This window comes from Homo sapiens, chromosome 10 (genome assembly GCF_000001405.40).
Source record: "Homo sapiens chromosome 10, GRCh38.p14 Primary Assembly".
Taxonomy (NCBI): domain Eukaryota; kingdom Metazoa; phylum Chordata; class Mammalia; order Primates; family Hominidae; genus Homo; species Homo sapiens.
The window spans coordinates 87,065,964-87,084,998 of NC_000010.11; the positions used below are offsets into that span (position 1 = coordinate 87,065,964).

The following is a 19,035-nucleotide window of genomic DNA, read 5'->3' on the forward strand; positions in this document are numbered from 1 at the left end:
ATGTCCCCATTTCCACATTCTTCCTCTTCTCCAAGGCCCATCTTTTCACTATGAAAAGAATTCCCCAGGCCTTCATTCCCCTGGGGGACTTCACTACCTCTACCAGCCTGCATCTCTTCAGCATTGTCTATCTCTTGCACCGGTAAATCTGTGTCTTACAGCCAATAAACATGCCAAAAGACAAAAAAAACCTTTTTCTCTGGGTAACAGCCACTTTTCAAGCTGTCTTCTTTCTGCTTCTCTCCGGTGCCATTTTTCTTAGTTGGAGGCTATATTTCATGCCCTGCTTCCCTCTTCATATCCCCTTGCAGTCCGGGCCCCTGTAGTAGTCTCCTGCCCTCAAGTCTTCAAATGCACACTTAGCTGAGTCACACCTGCTTGAAACCAGCTCTTTGCTGTTTCCCTGTGTTTTCAGGACAAAGACCAAAGTTCTCATGGTCACCTACCAAGCAGTAACCTGGCCTGACCCTTTTTTCTACTGGCCTTTCTTATCCCACCTTTCTCTTTCTCAACTCTGGCCACAGTAGTCAGTCCTTATCCTCCCAAGTTCACCCAGCTTCTGAACTTCAGAACCTTCCCTCAGGTAATTCCTTCTGTTCCAAACACTTGCCACTACCCCTACCCTAGTCCATGTCCACACACCCGTCTAAGTGCAGACCAGAAGGTTTTATCTCCTAGGAGGCTTTTTCTGACCTTACCTTGAAAGGACTGAAAGGACTGGATGGGCCTGTGATTCTTTTTCATAGCTTCAAAACAACTTCTAGCAATTTATCCCAATTGTAGTGAATACCTTGCTTACACATGGCCCTGCATGTAGTAGGCATAAATGTATTTTTTGACTCTGTTTCTCTTCCTACTCCTGAAATGTTTCATTTTTTAAGGTTGCACCCCTTTCAGGGACAGGAGTTAAGTTTCCTCTCATGTTCAGTTCTGTGGTACTACCTCTGCTCAGTCCCCAGACTCAGGTTCTCCTGGTTCTCTGTGACTCAGCCTGGTCCCTTTCCTTAATTCCACATATATCCAATCCAGTTTTGCTGAGTCTCTCTGTCATGTGCCTCACATGTGCAATGCTCCTCTCCTGGTCCTCTGGCTCCTGGACTTGGTGGAAAGGCACTGACACCATAGGAGGTTCTCTCCTGGCGCCAGCACAGCTGGACACTGCTGCCAGCCTATTCTTCCCCAGGAAGGATCAGCAAAATTTCTCCACTGACTACCATGTAAAACACAAACACTGGGGCTTGGTGTTTTTGTCCTGGTTCATTTACCTCTTCATTCTTACTTTTTTTTTGTTTTGAGACAGGGTCTCACTCTATTGCCCAGGCTGGAGTGCTGTGGTGCAACCACAGCTCACTGCAGCCTCAACCTCCTGGGCTCAAGCATGCCTCCCAGGTAGCTGGGATTATAGGTGTATACCACCACGCTTGGCTAATTTTTGTATTTTTTGGAAAGACAGGGTTTCCCCATGTTGTCCAGGCTGGTCTCGAACTCCTGGGCTCAAGTGATCCACCTGCCTTGGCCACCCAAAGTGCTGGAATTATGGGAATGAGCCACTGCATCCAGCCCTCACTCTTACTTTCTATTACCTTTATAAATATGCCTTACCTTCAGACAAACTGAACGCTATTGTTTCTCTTCCTCTTATCCTCCAAATCTCTAAATGTTCATATTCTACCCATTTTCAAGGTCTAGCCCAAATATCTCCTCTAGAAAGTCTTATTTCAGAATTCATAATCTCCACTGTTGTATTACATTATTTCCATACCTTATCTGCTTATGCACCTTAGTTCCTCTTTAAATGGAAGCCCTCTGAGGGAAAAATCAGAATTGGATGCTTCTTGATGTACGTTCTAGTGTCTTAGCACAGTGGGCTGCCCTGGTCCTGTTCCAGTGACAAGTATAGGGCAGCATATAAGTAAAGCTCAATCTGTGTTCATTACGATTTAAGAATAGACAAGTAGACATAAAATAATATGCACATCAAGATTATGATTGAATGAGAGAAAAACCCAGGGATTCTCAACTTTTGATATAATCAGTCAAACTGTTAATTCTTGTAGACAGCAAATGCAGAAGCCTCGGGGCTTCCAGTGGGTACTCACATAGTGCCCTATGGTGCTGGCATAGGTATCAGCGATCCAGGACATCTCCCGCTCACCTGTGCTCATGTCTGGAGCAGGCACATCAATGCCAGGACCTGCGGGGGCACAGGGAAAGAGGAGTGCACCAGTTTTTAAGAAAAATTCTTCTCGAACACAAAGATCCTTGTAAGTCTCTGTAATAACCAAGTTACCATGGCTAGAAAACTTTAGATCTCATTTAGGTAGCTAATCAAAGTCATAGAAATATTCATTAAATGTTTCACTATAAAATGCAGACACATACAACATTACATAATAATTTCTCCCTCTGGCATTTACTTGCTGTATGTTTGGAAGTTAGCTATGCACAACAGATATAAGCCACTCCATAGGATTTCTGAGTGTGCGACCAGAGGTTAATCAGTTTAGCCTCTCTTGACCTCATTTCACTAACATGCAATTAGAGATAACAGTACCATTGTGTTCTATATAAGCAGGATTATTATGGTTAGGGAGTTGACATGTATGAGATAGCAGAGTAACATGCTGCTTAGTGGGGGTATAAGCCCTCCTTATCAAGTAGAGAAAAAGGGGAGAAGGTCATATTGCTAAAGCAATTGTGTTAAGCCCCATATTATTTTTACTTGTGGAAGAATGTGGCTGTGACCTATTATTCGACATTCAGCACATATAAGGTTTTAGGCCTTAGCTTTCAGTTCCTCAGATCATAGGAAATTAAAGGTTTAGGCTAATAAATTAGCTTACAGGCAATAACAGGAATCACTGACTATACTACTACTGACGGCTACAGTAAGATCTCTGATAAAAACATGTTAAGTGATGCTCACTCAAATCTGTAAAGGTGCAGAAATACTCCTCTCAAACACAGTAAAAATAAAAACAACCTAATTATCTTGTATGCCAATTAAATGAAATATGGTATACCTATGCAAAGTACTAAACAGCCATTAAAAAGGGTAACTTATATCCATGTAAATTACTTGGAATTATCATGAACATACATATGGAAAAAGGCAGGTTTCATACAGCATGTATAACATGTTCCCACTTATAATTTTTTTCTCTTCCCTGCCATATATATAGTTTATAACTTTCTATATTATTTCAACTGTAAAATACAAACTCGTTTTTACAAAACGAAAAACGCAACTTAAAAAATGGTTAAACTATTAGGCTGAGCACAGTGGCGCATGCCTGTAATCCCAGCACCTTGGGAGGCTGAGGAGGGCGGATCACGAGGTCAGGAGTTTGAGACCAGCCTGACCAACATGGTGAAACCCTGCCTTTACTAAAAATACAAAAATTAGCCGGGCGTGGTGGCACATGTCTGTAATCCCAGCTACTCCGGAGGCTGAGGCAGGAGAATCGCTTGAATGGAGGTGGGGGGTGTTGCAGTGAGCCAAGATCGCGCCAGTGCACTCTAGCCTGGGCGACAGAGTAAGACTCTGTTTCAAAAAAAAAAAAAAAAAAAGTTAAACTATTAAACTATTATGTCTCCCCATAAAATAATTAAAGTTCTAAGGGCTGTACCCAATTATTCCTATAAATTTTACTTTTTAGTCAACAGAATCAGTATATTGTAATGTTTTTCTATAACTCAGGGGCCCAAGGCCTAAATAATAAACTTTTTTGAACAAGCTGTGATGTAATGGATACAGGGCTAGTATAAGATAACTTTGAAATGGTCAAGGATCGCTTTTTATACCCTGACCCTCTCCACCTCCCACCTAATCTGTAACTCTATGTCTTAGCACCCTTCCCTTAGTCACCTTAAAAATCTCATGAAGTCAATGACGACAACAACAACAACAACAACAACAAAATCTTGTGAAGTCTAATCCCCACTGCACTTGGAAAGATTAATGCCATATTCTAGCCTCATCCACTGACAAAAGGGCTCTCTGGCGCTCTCCAGCTCCTATTTGCTCACTTTCCATTCCTTTAGTGACATACCTCTGCTGGAGGTCAGCACAACTTTGTTTAACCACTCCTTTTCTCCCAATGTACAAATGACAAATTGGTCCTGAATCTTTCTAGAGGTAACTACAAAAGGATTATGCTTGCTTTAGGATTAAATAAGCTTGTTACCTCAAACAACAATTCCAACTAGGCCGGGGCAGTGGCTTATGCCTGTAATCCCAGCACTTTGGGAGGCCGAGGCAGGAGGATGGCTTGAGTCCAGGAATTTGAGACAAGCCTGGGCAACATAGTGAGATCCTGTCTTGATTAAACAATACATTTAAAAAACAAAAAACCGGCTGGGCGCGGTGGCTCACGCCTGTAATCCCAGCACTTTGGGAGGCCGAGGTGGGCTGATCACGAGGTCAAGAGAGAGAGACCATCCTGGCCAACGTGGTAAAACCCCGTCTCTACTAAAAATACAAAAATTAGCTGGGGGTGGAGGCACATGCCCATAGTCCCAGCTACTCGGGAGGCTGAGGCAGGAGAATTGCTTGAACCAGGGAGGCAGACGTTGCAGTGAGCCGAGATCACGCCACTGAGCTCCAGCCTGGTGACAGAGCGAGACTCTGTCTCAAAATCAAAAAAACAAAAAACAATTCCAATTGGAGAAGGGCTCTGGCAAGTGGCAAGTCTGAAACACATGGTTTGTAAATCAGAAACACGTAATGATAAAATCCTTCTCAAAAACAGTCTATACATGCTAAACGTGAAACAGCTTCTGCCATCCAAAACAAAATCACAAGGTATTAGTTATTAGGCTTATGAGTTTTCTACTCCATACAAAACTAATGTATAGGGATGCACAGATTACAAGTAGTTCCTGAGGCCGGGTGCGGTGCTCATGCCTGTAATCCTAGCACTTTGGGAGGCCGAGGTGAGTGGATCACAAGGTCAGGAGATCGAGACCATCCTGGCTAACACAGTGAAACCCTGTCTCTACTAAAAATACAAAAAATTAGCCGGGCGTGGTGGCGGGCGCCTGTAGTCCCAGCTTCTTGGGAGGCTGAGGCAGGAGAATGGCGTGAACCCGGGAGGCGGAGCTTGCAGTGAGCTGAGATCGTGCCACTACACTCCAGCCTGGGTGACACAGCAAGACTCTGTCTCAAAACAAAAACAAAAACAAAAAACAAGTAGTTCCTGAATAACAGATATATTCTTTTTGTTTTTTTTTAATTTTTATGTTTTGAGAAGGAGTTACACTCTTGCTGCCCAGGCTGGAGTACAATGGCATGATCTCGGCTCACTGCAACCTCCGCCTTCCAGGTTCAAGCAATTCTCCTGCCTCAGCCTCCTGAGTAGCTGGGATTACAGGTACCTGCCTGGCTAATTTTTTTTTATTTTTAGTAGAGACGGGGTTTTACCATGTTGGCCAGGCTGGTCTCGAACTCCTGACCTCAGGTGATCCACCCGCCTCAGCCTCCCAAAGTGCTGGGATTACAGGCATGAGCCACCATGCTTGGCCTAACAGATAAATTCTTATATAGAGAACAGGTATGAGGCAGAAGTTAATCTTTTTTAAAAAAGCAACTTTTCTAACAGCATGTGACTATAGAGTAGGAGATGAAAGGGTAATTTTGGTACACAGAGATATAAGGGGATGAGAAGGGTGGAGACATCAGGGTCCTGCAGAACTTAGGTGATATTTACACTCACACAAGAGAATGAACATTGACCTTTCAAAAGCTTTTCCAAAAGCAGAAGAGGAAGGAACACTCCTCAACTCATTCCATGAGGCTAGAATTGTCCTGATACAAAGACTAGACAAAGACATCATAAGAAAACTATAGACCAATGTCACTTACAATAGCATTAAAAGGAGTAAAATATTTAGTTGTAAGACTTCTATGTAAGACTTCTACAATGAGAACTACAAAACATCATTGAAAGAAATCAAGAGACCTAAATAAATGGAAAGACATCTCATATTCAGCATTGGAAGGCTTAATATGGTTAAGATGGCAATACTGGTCAGGTGCAGTGGCTCATGCCTATAATCCCAGAATTTTGGGAAGCTGAGGTGGGAAGACTGCTTGAGCTCAGGAGTTTGAGACCAGTCTGGGATACGTGATGAGACCGTGTCTCCACAAAAAATTAAAAAATTAGCTAGGCACAGTTGCACACCCCTGTGGTTCTAGCTACTTGGGAGGGTGAGGTGAGAGGATTGCTTGAGCCCAGGAGGTCAAGGTTGCAGTGACTGCTGTCTGGTACTCCAGCCTGGGTGAAAGGACAAAACCTTTTTGGGGAGGGTGGGGAAGATGGCAATACTCCACAAATTAGTGTACAGATTCAATGAAATTCCTATAAAAATCCCAGCCTCTTTTTTTCTTTTGTTTTGCAGAAATTTACAAGCTGATGCTAAACACACATGTGACAGGATCAGGGTTCAGGCTCAGGTCTGAGCCTCAATCTGACACTCTCTGTGGAATGGGCAGTCAGGAAATAACAGATAAATAACATCAAATTTGAAGGTTTGCCGAGGAGTGAGAGAAAAAACTCCCTTTGCCTACCTCCTAGGCTTCAAAGCTTTCTGGGCCAAGACGTCAATTTAACTGCATCCTGGGTCAATGAGGCTTTTGCACATTAAGCAAATAAATCAAATTACTAGAGTTTAAGCTGTGTTTTCTTTCAGTATTCCAATGAATCACTTTTTGACCTTTGGAATTATTAGGTACTTGTCAAGTCTGATAAAATTAAGCTGGAGATATTGCAGATATGGGTGACAAATATGACTGAATAAAGTCTGAAACCATTCAAGACTATAAAATGTGTTTGAGATTTAGGGGAAGAGGAAAGACCTTTTAAAAATTATGAAGGCTATTAACAGGCTGAAGATGACTTCAATTCACCATATCTCAGAATCAGTAGGCACTCCTATAAAAGTGTGAGCGAGATAGTTAACTCATATTAACTTACGTTAACAGACTCCATGTAAGGATGCACAAGTTCACAGTAGTGCTGGGTATGCGGCACATCAAAGGCCCAAATGCCTTTTATTATCAAAGACAGGCCAAATCTAGTCAAGTTTTAGAGTTACCTATACTTACTGTATTTCTATATTAGGTTATTTCATGACATTTATTTCATGACTTTTTTTTCCTAAAAATGAATCCGAATAGCTTTATTTCATTTCTCTTTCTTCTTGAGATGTGGTCTCGTTTTGTTGCTCAGGCCAGAGTGTGGCAGGCCAGAGTGCAGTGGCACAATCATAGCTCACTGCAGCCTCAACCCCCCAGGCTTAAGGGATCCTCCCATCTTAGTAGTTGGGACCACAGGCATGCACCATCACGCTTGGATAATGTTTTCATTTTTTGTAGAGATGGGGTCTTGTAATATTGCCCAGGGTGGTCTCGAACTTCTGGGCTCAAGTGATCCTCCCACCTCAGCCTCCAAAAATGCTGGGATTACAAGCACCAGCCACCATGCCCAGCCTTTATAGTTTAATTTCATGGGAACTTGTGGGGGAAATGCTAAGAAAGGAAAGTAGAGAAAAATACACTTTATTTTCTATTTAAGTAGACCTTATTTTGTTTAACTATACTGATATTGATAGGACAAGTATTCTATTATTAAGTAACAATTAACATTCTTTTTTTTTTTTTTTTTTTTTTTTTTGAGACGGAGTCTCGCTCTGTTGCCCAGGCTGGGGTGTAGTGGCGTGATCTTGGCTCACTGGAAGCTCTGCTTCCCAGGTTCACACCATTCTCCTGTCTCAGCCTCCTGAGTAGCTGGGACTACAGGCACTCGCGACCACGCCTGGCAAATTTTTTGTGTTTTTAGTAGAGATGGGATTCCTACTAAACCCCGTTAGCCAGAATGGTCTCGATCTGACCTCGTGATCCACCTGCCTCGGCCTCTCAAAGTGCTGGGATTACAGGTGTGAGCCACCACGCTCGGCAGTAAGTATTAACATTCTATTAACTATACTGATAGGGCAAGCATTCTATTAAGTAGTTATGCATATTCTATTCAAACAAATTAGAAGCCTTCTAGATTAAAAAAAATATAGGTTTAAACTGCTTGAAAATTAAAGGGTACATGACAAATACTTACATATCATAAAAAGAATATTCAGATTGTGCACAAAGAAAATATAAACACAGATAATAGTAAGATACAAAAACATCAAGCAAACAAAGATTAATATCTTCAGAAATGTTGTATGTTTGGCAAAAGCTCCTATAACAAATAGTAGGAGGCCGGGCACAGTGGCTCCTATCTGTAATACCAGCAGTTTGGGAGTCCGAGATGGGTGGATCACCTGATGTCAGGAGTTCAAGCCCAGCCTGACCAACATGGCAAAGCCCCATCTCCAGTAAAAATACAAAAATCAGCTGGGTGTGGTGGCACATGCCTGTAATCTCAGCTACTTGGGAGGCTGAGACAAGAGAATTGCTTGAACCCAGGAGGCGGACGAGATCGCACCACTGCACTCTAGTCTGGGCAACAGAGTGAGACTCCGTCTCAAAAAAAAAAAAAAATTTTTAGATGTTCCCACTTTATACCAAAAACTATGTGGCTACACATACCAATAAAGCCCTTTTTTGCTAGCTCCATGGTGAACCTCCTTGTGATCTTTTCCAATTCATTATCCTGTAAAATAAGAAAACAAAAACAAAAGAAAAAATTGATATAAAAATCGCTTGAGATTATAGCTAGCATCTTATTTTCTATTTATAGTACATTTTCATATGTCTTCTCATGTAATCCTTAGAACAACTCATAAAGTAGGCATTGCCATTTTAAAGGTGACAAAATAAGGGATCAAAAAAGTAGGTTATAAAAACAAGATAGTAGAACTAGGGCTCAAATTCCCATTCTATTAATTCCCCACTGAAAAATACACTAAATCTTAATTAAGATTAATTTAAATATAATTATATTCCATTTAAATGGTGAATTTTAAAGAGAATAAAAATCATGCATTTATGTTTGTATATAGATAATTTAGTATTATGTAAAGCATTGTGACAATCAGTTTGAATTAACTTGGAACTGACTGGATAAAAAGTAAGGTTTTTATAGTCTTAGTTAAGATATGTGTCACTAGAATCAGATCCTGACATAAAAACTTCAGATCACAGTAATACTTTTTTCTTTTTGAGACAGAGTCTTGCTCTGTTACCCAGGCTGGAATGCAGTGGTGAAATCTCAGCCAACCTCTGCCTCCTGGGTTCAAGCAATTCTCATGCCTGAGCCTCCCGAGTAGCTGGGATTACAGGTGTGCACCACTATGCCTGGCTAATCAGATCACAGTATTTCTTAAATATGGGTATAAGTGTCTAAGTGAAGACATTATATAAATATGGGTATAAGTATATAAGTGAAGATATTAATTACGTTTTAACTAAGTAAGAAAATAATAAAACAAAAAGCAAAAAAGTAAAACAAAAGACTCATAAAAACAAAACCAAATGAAACAGAAAATGATAAAGGATATAGATATTAAGTAGGTGATCTTTATATGGCAAAACACGCTATGAGTTAATTCTTTACATTTTTCTATTCCATTTGAAAAGCAATGGGGACTACTGATCTCACTGATAGTGGGGGATACAGAGAAGCCCAGTAATTTCAAGTCCTTCATAAATGCACTGTGTGCACAAATGTCACTTTGAGGCCGGGTGCGGTGGCTCATGCCTGCAATCCTAGCACTCTGGGAGGCCAAGGCAGGTGGATCACCTGAGGTCAGGAGTTCAAGAACAGCCTGGCCAACATGGTGAAATCCCCTCTCTACTAAAAATACAAAAATTAGTCGGGCATGGTGGCGTGCACCTGTAATCCCAGTTACTGGATCAAGGAGAACTGCTTGAACCCGGGAGGCGGAGGTTGCAGTGAGCCAAGATTGCGCCATTGTACTCCGGCCTGAACAACAGAGGAAGACTCTGTCTCAGAAAAACAAAAACAACAACAACAATAAAAAACAAATATCACTTTCATACTTACAGTATAGTTCTTGGGATTGATCTTAACACCAGCTTTAGCACCCCCAAACGGCACATCTGAAAGAGAAGGCTGATGGTTGCTATTCCATATAAATGTTAAAAAAGTAAAATGACAGAAAGCACCACACAATATTAGAGAAACGTGATGCTTTAAGCTTGAATTTCTGAAAATTCAAGAAATAAACCTACCATCATTTTCTAAACTGTACTTTAAACAACATTTTGTTGAACAGAAATTGTTCAATAAAATTGGCTAGCCAAGTTCTAATATATATTTAATCAGTGCTCTTTACCACTTCTAAAAGATAATAGCTTATTTACTCTCCTTCTACTATAATTTGGTCTTATTTACAGAATGTGTTGAGGAATTGAAAACAAAGATCTAGACTTAAAATCCAATTATCTCCTATTTTAAAAAATCCCCCATGTAAAAAAAAAAGGCTATATCTTAATTTAGACTAATTGAAAAATGATGCAGGTCTTAAAGATTACAACTTGAAAAAAAATCAGTTCTGATAAGGTATATTTCTACAGCATCTTAACAGTAACATGTGTGTAAACATATTTCCCCAGAGTTCTCATTAGGCAGCAAGAAAGGCGATCACTTACCAACCACTGCACACTTGTATGTCATCAGAGAAGCCAAAGCTTTTACTTCATCTACACTCACATCAGTGCTGTAACGGATACCTGGTGGTGTTTTTAAAAAAATGTGTTGGGGTGGGTGAGAAAGAAGGGGTTATATTTAGAACAAACTTAAGTAAGCTTCAAAAAAGAAAGCTACAAATTGAAAATATCCACTTTTTACATTTTACATCCAAGCTATGTCCAAAAACACTTGAAGCAGCTTGTACATCAGAACACCATGAAAAATGAATATAAAACGTTAAAAAAACCTGCTAATAACAGTAACTATGATTTCACAAGACAAAAATCACCCTGCAATGAATTTCTGTACACTTTCCAGAAGGCTTTTTTATGTTCCTTTTACCTTTGGTTTGGGTGACCTGGTTGCAGGGAGTTCAAGAATTCAGGTTGCTTTTTTTTGGGGGGGTAGGGGTGGGAAACAGGGTCTTGCTCTGTTGCTCAGGCTGAGTGTAGTGGCACAGACATGGCTTACTGTAGCCTCAACCTCCTAGGCTCAGGTAATCCTCCCACCTCAGCCTCCTGAGTAGCTGGGACCACAAGTGCACACCACCATGCCCAGCTAATTTTTGAATTTTTTGTAGAGACAGGATCTCACCATGTTGCTCAGGCTGGTCTCAAACTCCTGGGCTCAAGTGATCCTCCCACCTTGGCTTCCCAAAGTGCTGGGATTACAGGCATGAGCCACTATGCCTGGCAAGAATTCTGCTTTCTGATAATTCACAAACATGGGCAATGAATAATCACCAGGTTCAAAATACCGTATGTCTAAACAGAGGTTTTGGCTTCAAATGGGTATATTAAAAGAGATCCTTACCTGTTATTCTCCTCACCCACTGCCAACCTCTTTCAATCTGAAAATGAGAAAGCCATTTTCCCTTTCTGAGGTTGAGTGATTCCCTTCACCACTTCTGCAAAGAGGGCAGGTAGCCAAGCAGACAGGTAGGTACTAGTGCCCCTGTATCTAGTAGCCATTACGTGTTGGTACAGGGTATACTGGAAGTGGGGATGCCCACAGCTTTGGCTTTGGGGGTCTTGGTCAATTACTCTTCAAAGTTTTGGAGTGCTAATCCACCTTTCTTTCTCTATAATCCATTGCTTCTCAATCCCAAGGAGGAAAGTCTGAGTGGGGTTGATGTTTGACTGCACAGTGCTTGGGGCACTGGGTGTTTGTGTGTGAAGGATACCCACAAGAAGCTGCAGCATTTTTTCTACCCTCCCACTCCCAACAGATTCAGCCCCTCTCGAGGGGCTGGGTACGATTTCCACTGGGAGTCACAAGTAAGTAATGGGAGCCCCAGGGAGAGCTCTTTTAAAGAATTCTGAGATTAAAAGTTTTTCAGATAGAAAATATACAATATCTCATGGACTGGCAGTTTGAGAGAACTTCCCTAGTCAATTTTAAAAGCTAGCTTTCTTACATGTTTCTGAAAACATCAACCTTAATATTGATAATGTTTTAAGATAATTTATTTATTGTACACATGACCATAAAGAGCATATTCTAAGCTGAACATACTTATTTGGTCTACTGTACAAACAAATCATATTTAGAGGAGTATGTGCTTAGAACTATATCTTGTGTATAACTGATTCTCAAATTGTGAAATAAATGTAGTCATTATTAAACTTTTGGAATGCAAAATTACAGGTAATTTTTCCAGCACACAGCAGATATCTGTATAGCTCACTCCCCCATTTCATTCAGGTCTCTGTTAAAAACTTCATTCTGAGAGGCTCCCCTTGACCACTGTATTTAAAAGAGCACCTCTTTCTCACTCCCACTTTCCTGCCTCTCCTACCTTGTTTCTTCATATCGTTTATTATTACTGACTTTGCATTATACATGTGTTTATTATCTGGCTTCCCTACCTGGCAAGTTAGCACCACGAGGGCAGACTTTGTTATGTTCACTGCTTTAATTCCTGGTTCCTAACATAGAAAATGGCATATATTAGGCACTCAAATACATGCCGAATTAATATACGAATATTCTGACTCTTAAAATTTAAAAAAGAAAGAAAAGCTATGGCCACAAAAATATTTGACATACATGTTAAGTTTTAAATAACTTACCATAAGCCTCCATACCTATCATGAAAGGACTCAAAGTATACAAAACTGGGAATGGGGGTGACGGGGAGATGATGGTCAAAGGGTACAAAGCCTCAATTAGAAGGAATAAGTTTCTTCGAGATAGATTGCACAGCATGGTGAATACAGTAAATAATAATAGATTATACATTTGGCCCAACATGGTAGTTCATGCTTGTAATCCCAACACTGGAAGGCTGAGGTGGGAGGATCACTTGAGCTTAGGAGTTTGAAACCAGCCTGGCCAACATAGTGAGACCTCATTTCTACAACAACAACAAAAAGTACTGCACATTTCAAAATCACTGAGTAAATTTCAGATGTTTTCACCAGAAAAAATGATAATTATTTGCAATTGTTTCCAGTGGTGAACAGGTTAATCAGCTTGACTTAATTATGCAATGTTGTATTCATAAATCATAAAATTACTTTGTACCTCATAAATATATATCTACAATTTGTCAATTTAAAAAATAAAAAATTTAAAAAGAATTTCCAGTCAGATAAAGCCCACAGAAAAGGGAAAAAAAAACTGTAAATAATATTAAGATGAATCATTTGTATCTTAAAAAAAAAAAAAAATTGAGTTGGGCGTGGGGGCATGTGCGTGTAGTCGAAGATGCTCAGGAGGCTGGGGCAGGAGAGTCACTTGAGCCCAGGAGTTGCAGGCTGCAGTGAGCTACGCTCAGGTCACTGCACTAAACCCCAGCAACAGAGCCAGACCTTTCCTCAAAAAAAAAAAGAAAAAAGAAAAAAAAAATTGTTTAAACACTAAAATGTGCTTTTCAAATTATTCAAAATGCTTCTAAGTAATACCACATATTATTTAATGATAACTACACTAAGCCAGGGAAATGGTAAGGCGCTGTGCCCAGGCGACCCAGCCTGCACCATCCGCTTGCATGGAGGGGTGCTAATGCCACTCTCCTAGGATGGGTGTCACGACTGCGAGGAACATCGCACATGGGGAATCTGGCACGGTGCCCTGCAAGTGGTCAAACAGGCAAATCTCAACTATTACCACTGCTATAACAAGTATTACAAAGTAATGGCATGTAACAAAGCAATTAAAAAGTCTAAACTGACAGGAGTTTGAAAAAATGACTTAATAAACCTTGGTTTCATTACTTCTACATAAATTCACAGGAAATAGTAAAACAATGTATTAATTAAGAACTAGTGCTCTCCCTCTCCCTCCCCCTCCCCCTCCCCCTCTCCCTCCCCCTCTCCCTCTCCCTCTCCCCACGGTCTCCCTCTCCCCACGGTCTCCCTCTGATGCCGAGCGGAAGCTGGACTGTACTGCTGCCATCTTAGCTCACTGCAACCTCCCTGCCTGATTCTCCTGCCTCAGCCTGCCGAGTGCCTGCGATTGCAGGCGCGCGCCGCCACGCCTGACTGGTTTTCGTATTTTTTTGGTGGAGACGGGATTTCGCTGTGTTGGCCGGGCTGGTCTCCAGCTCCTAACCGCGAGTGATCCGCCAGCCTAGGCCTCCGGAGGTGCCAGGATTGCAGACGGTGTCTGGTTCACTCAGTGCTCAATGGTGCCCAGGCTGGAGTGCAGTGGCGTGATCTCGGCTCGCTACAACCTCCACCTCCCAGCCGCCTGCCTTGGCCTCCCAAAGTGCCCAGAGTGCAGCCTCTGCCCAGCCGCCACCCCGTCTAGGAAGTGAGGAGTGTCTCTGCCTGGCCGCCCATCGTCTGAGATGTGAGGAGCCCCTCTGCCTGGCTGCCCAGTCTGGAAAGTGAGGAGCGTCTCTGCCCTGCCGCCATCCCATCTAGGAAGTGAGGAGCGCCTCTTCCCAGCCGCCATCCCATCTAGGAAGTGAGGAGCGTCTCTGCCCGGCCGCCCATCGTCTGCGATGTGGGGAGCGCCTTTGCCCCGCCGCCCCGTCTGGGATGTGAGGAGCGCCTCTGCCCGGCCGCGACCCCGTCTGGGAGGTGAGGAGCGTCTCTGCCCAGCCGCCCCATCTGAGAAGGGAGGAGACCCTCTGCCCGGCAACCGCCCCGTCTGAGAAGTGAGGAGCCCCTCCGCCTGGCAGCCGCCCCGTCTGAGGAGTGAGGAGCCCCTCCGCCTGGCAGCCACCCCATCTGGGAAGTGAGGAGCCTCTCCGCCCGGCAGCCGACCTGTCCGGGAGGGAGGTGGGGGGGTCAGCCCCCCGCCCGGCCAGCCGCCCCGTCCGGGAGGTGAGGGGCGCCTCTGCCCAGCCGCCCCTACTGGGAAGTGAGGAGCCCCTCTGCCCAGCCAGCCGCTCCGAGAGGGAGGTGGGGGGGTCAGCCCCCCGCCCGGCCAGCCGCCCCGTCCGGGAGGGAGGTGGGGGGTCAGCCCCCCGCCCGGCCAGCCGCCCCGTCCGGGAGGGAGGTGGGGGGGTCAGCCCCCCGCCCGGCCAGCCGCCTCTTCCGGGAGGTGAGGGGGCGCCTCTGCCCGGCCGCCCCTACTGGGAAGTGAGGAGTCCCTCTGCCCGGCCAGCCGCCCCGTCCAGGAGGGAGGTGGGGGGGTCAGCCCCCCGCCCGGCCAGCCGCCTCTTCTGGGAGGTGAGGGGGCGCCTCTGCCTGGCTGCCCCTACTGGGAAGTGAGGAGCCCCTCTGCCCGGCCAGCCACCCCGTCCGGGAGGGAGGTGGGGGGGTCAGCCCCCCACCCAGCCAGCCGCCCTGTCCGGGAGGTGAGGGGCGCCTCTGCCCGGCCGCCCCTACTGGGAAGTGAGGAGCCCCTCTGCCCAGCCACCACCCCATCTGGGAGGTGTGCCCAACAGCTCACTGAGAACGGGCCATGATGACAATGGTGGTTTTGTGGAATAGAAAGCGGGGAAAGGTGGGGAAAAGATTGAGAAATCGGATGGTTGCCGTGTCTGTGTGGAAAGAAGTAGACATGGGAGACTTTTCATTTTGTTCTGTACTAAGAAAAATTCTTCTGCCTTGGGATCCTGTTGATCTGTGACCTTACCCCGCAACCCTGTGCTCTCTGTAACATGTGCTGTGTCCACTCAGGGTTAAATGGATTAAGGGCAGTGCAAGATGTGCTTTGTTAAACAGATGCTTGAAGGCAGCATGCTCGTTAAGAGTCATCACCACTCCCTAATCTCAAGTACCCAGGGACACAAACACTGCGGAAGGCCTCAGGGTCCTCTGCCTAGGAAAACCAGAGACCTTTGTTCACTTGTTTATCTGCTGACCTTCCCTCCACTATTGTCCTATGACCCTGCCAAATCCCCCTCTGTGAGAAACACCCAAGAATGATCAATACAAAAAAAAAAAAAAAAAGAAAAAAAAAAGAACTAGTATTTCTTCTCCCACACATAAATCACTTTTTCCATTGCTCTTTTAGAGCCTGTGGAAGTCATCACCACATTATTTTTAATTTTCCTTGCTTTCTTAAGTGGAGGAAATGTTACTTTCTTTTAACTTAGAAACTTAAAAATTTTAACTTGCATTTAGTGGGGAGCTAAAAACTGCTGGAACCAATGATATTCATAAATCAAACAGAAGCATTCAAATGGCAAGCCTAATATTCTAGAAATAGATGTTATTAAAAATTAGAAACCAGACCCCTCCTTCCACACAAGTGTAAACAAAATGTCCATTTTATCATAAGTCATGGAATGACATGAGTCAGAAACTGTGTGTGTATAACAAAAGACATGTTCCGCTGGATGGAACCCAGGAATTCTTGTTTGTAAAGTTAAGTTTTCTTTCCCAGCTACACCCATTTAGAGAGCTCAACTGCTAAACAGTGAAGAGAAGCAGTTTCACAAATTACCTCTCACACCACAGGCATTTTCTGTAGGCTATGAACCAATAAAGGTTTAGTGAATGGAAGCACAGGAGGAGCTATAAAGAAAGTACCAGCTTAGTGGAAGAAGCCCCAGAGCCAACAGAACAGGGACAGGGAGGGGATAGAAATGAATGCAAGTGATATTGCCTGGGCTAAAGAAGAAACATTTTCATTTTAAATTTCTAGTTAACCAGTGATTCATACATGTTTTTAATTCTAGAAATTGGCAAATATTGAGTACTGGGCTACCTAAACTGGTAGTCTGAAAAACAAAAAATTTTAAAGTGCACCCATTAATAAAATACTCTGCAGCAATACTTGAGACAAAACAATCTCCAATAAGACACAATGTACCCACACACAGAAGAAGCCAGTTACTCTTCCTTCTCTGGGTTTGGAAACCAAAGATAACTATCAAAAATATACTGTCACCTGAAAATAAGTCTTAACTACATTCTAAGGGACACGAAGAGATTTATGTAGGGGCCAGATGTGGTGGCTCACGCCTATAATCCCAGCACTTTGGGAGGCCGAGCTGGGCAGATCACTTGAGGTCAGGAGTTTGAGACCAGCTTGGCCAACATGGTGAAACCCCATCTTTACTGAAAATACAAAAATTAGCTGGGCATGGTGGCACATTCCCGTAGTCCCATACTCACAAGGCTAAGGCGGAGGTTACAGAGAGCTGAGATTGTACCACTGCATTCCAGCCTGGGCAACAGTTTGAGACTGTCTCAAAAAAATTAAAAAAAAAAAAAAAAGTAAGAATATGACTGCAAAAAGGAAGGTACTCTACTTAACTCAATGGATTGGGAAAAATTAGCACAACTGGAGAATGTGAAGGACAAAATGATGTGACATATACCTCAAAGTTCTGAAAGGCAGGGAAAGCCTAGCACTTTTGAATGCCTACTCTCGTTCAAATATACTCAATTTGAAGTTGTTCAAAAAAGTCAAATAATAGGAAAATACATACACATACAAGAAAATCAGAAAATCTTAAAATATTTAAGCCAAAATGAAGCAAGAAGGATCTTATGTGATCTGAATATTGTCACTTTTTATAAAACCAAGCCTTTCCTCCTTCAGCAGAGAAGGCTGAAGGTGAACAGGACCAACAGAGATCAAACAGGGGCACAGAACAGAAACTAGAAGGAGGAAGGAAGAGATGTTTTATTCCAGAAATGGAGGAAAGTAAATTATATTTTTGTATCCCAAAGTCTTAGACAGTTAGGCATGGTGGCTCATGCCTGTAGTCCTAGCACATTGGGAGGCTGAGGCAGAAGAACTTGAGCTCAGGTGTTTAAGACCAGCCTGGACAACATAGTGAGATCCCATCTCTACACACACACACACACACACACGCACACACCGCATCTTAAAACTCTGTTAGACTCCATTGATGCATTACTAGTGTTTGGGATCAACTGGGTCTTTGGTCAACTGTGCTAGTAGGAATGAAGGTAAATACTTTTAACAAAGAGCAGGAGTCCACGGCTGGCTAAGCTAGACAGTGAATGGGCTTGGTACACAGGTGTCAGCCACAGAACTGATGCCATTAGAAACATGGCCTAAAAATCAAGGCCACCCTGCTGACAAAGTAATCTGTGCACTCAGCTCACCAGAGGAAACTAAAGACACACCACCCATGACGTTTATTATTTATCAATCTCAGTAAAGCTGGAGGAAGGGCAGGGGATAGAATGACGTATGTACTACAATGGGAACTTTTAAATCATTCCTTCTATTCTGAACAGAAACTGACTAAACAGTTATTTTATGTTAACTGGTATCCAGATGTTTCCAAAGAATATTAGTGAAATGCAGACATCTGCAACTATATACAGTACAAAGCACTGATCTGATTTTTAACTTAATTACCACAGATATTCCTTAGTATGCTCAAGTCTAATGAGCAGTACATGCTAAGTTTCTCTAGGAGAAATAAAAATCAAAAGCAGAAACTAGCTTAAGTTGCTATAGTGATGAAGAAAACAAACCAGCTCATTACTTTAAAAAAGATTCAGTGAAAACCACAATTGACTAAGCTTGAATTTTTTTTCCTTTTCCTAGCTGACTCAAAAGCAAACACAAAAGCCTCCAGCTAGTCACTGTTTTTTATAATTAGTCATTAACAAAACATTTATGAAAATTCAAGTGGTTTTAAAATTACTTGAACCTGGTTCTCTTAATAGGGTTTGATTTATTCATCAGAAATCTAATTTCCAGCTGCACTCTCTCACTTTTCAGGAACTATTTATTCAGTAACCAAGAGTTCTACCAGAAGCACAGAACCACCAGAAAAGCAAAAATGCCTCAGAACAACTCTTAATATTTATAAGTTAACACTCTTGCCACTTACTCATCAGATTATATTTTTTCACTTAATATTAATGTACCTTCTAACCCACAATAATGTAGCGTAACTTAATTTAAAATGAAGAGAGGAAGGTTAGAAGCAGGGAGGAACTCTCAATGACCACCCACAAGTAATGACCACCTGAAATACTACGTCTCAGATAAA

General features: G+C 42.7%; 1 protein-coding gene across 9 annotated transcripts in view, besides 1 other annotated feature; it reads right to left on the bottom strand.

Moving 5' to 3' along the window:
• Positions 1-19,035, bottom strand: part of GLUD1 (glutamate dehydrogenase 1) — a 44,642-nt gene that overhangs the window by 15,762 nt on the left and 9,845 nt on the right. For 8 of the 9 annotated variants that reach the window (NM_005271.5, NM_001318904.2, NM_001318905.2 and 5 more), the window contains 4 exons: positions 10,613-10,693; positions 10,005-10,060; positions 8,588-8,651; positions 2,100-2,194 (listed from right to left, as the gene is read on the bottom strand). In NM_005271.5, coding sequence (NP_005262.1) covers positions 2,100-2,194; positions 8,588-8,651; positions 10,005-10,060; positions 10,613-10,693 — 296 coding nt within the window. Of the gene's footprint in view, positions 1-2,099; positions 2,195-8,587; positions 8,652-10,004; positions 10,061-10,612; positions 10,694-12,520; positions 12,581-19,035 lie in introns of all 9 variants that reach the window. The other variant, NM_001318906.2, reaches the window with a different exon arrangement.
• Positions 17,986-18,035: an enhancer, noted in NCBI's record as "active region_3704". NCBI's record gives its function as "activates an Ori minimal core promoter by ATAC-STARR-seq in GM12878 lymphoblastoid cells {active_cell/tissue: GM12878}" and the evidence as "EXISTENCE:reporter gene assay evidence [ECO:0000049][PMID:35858748]".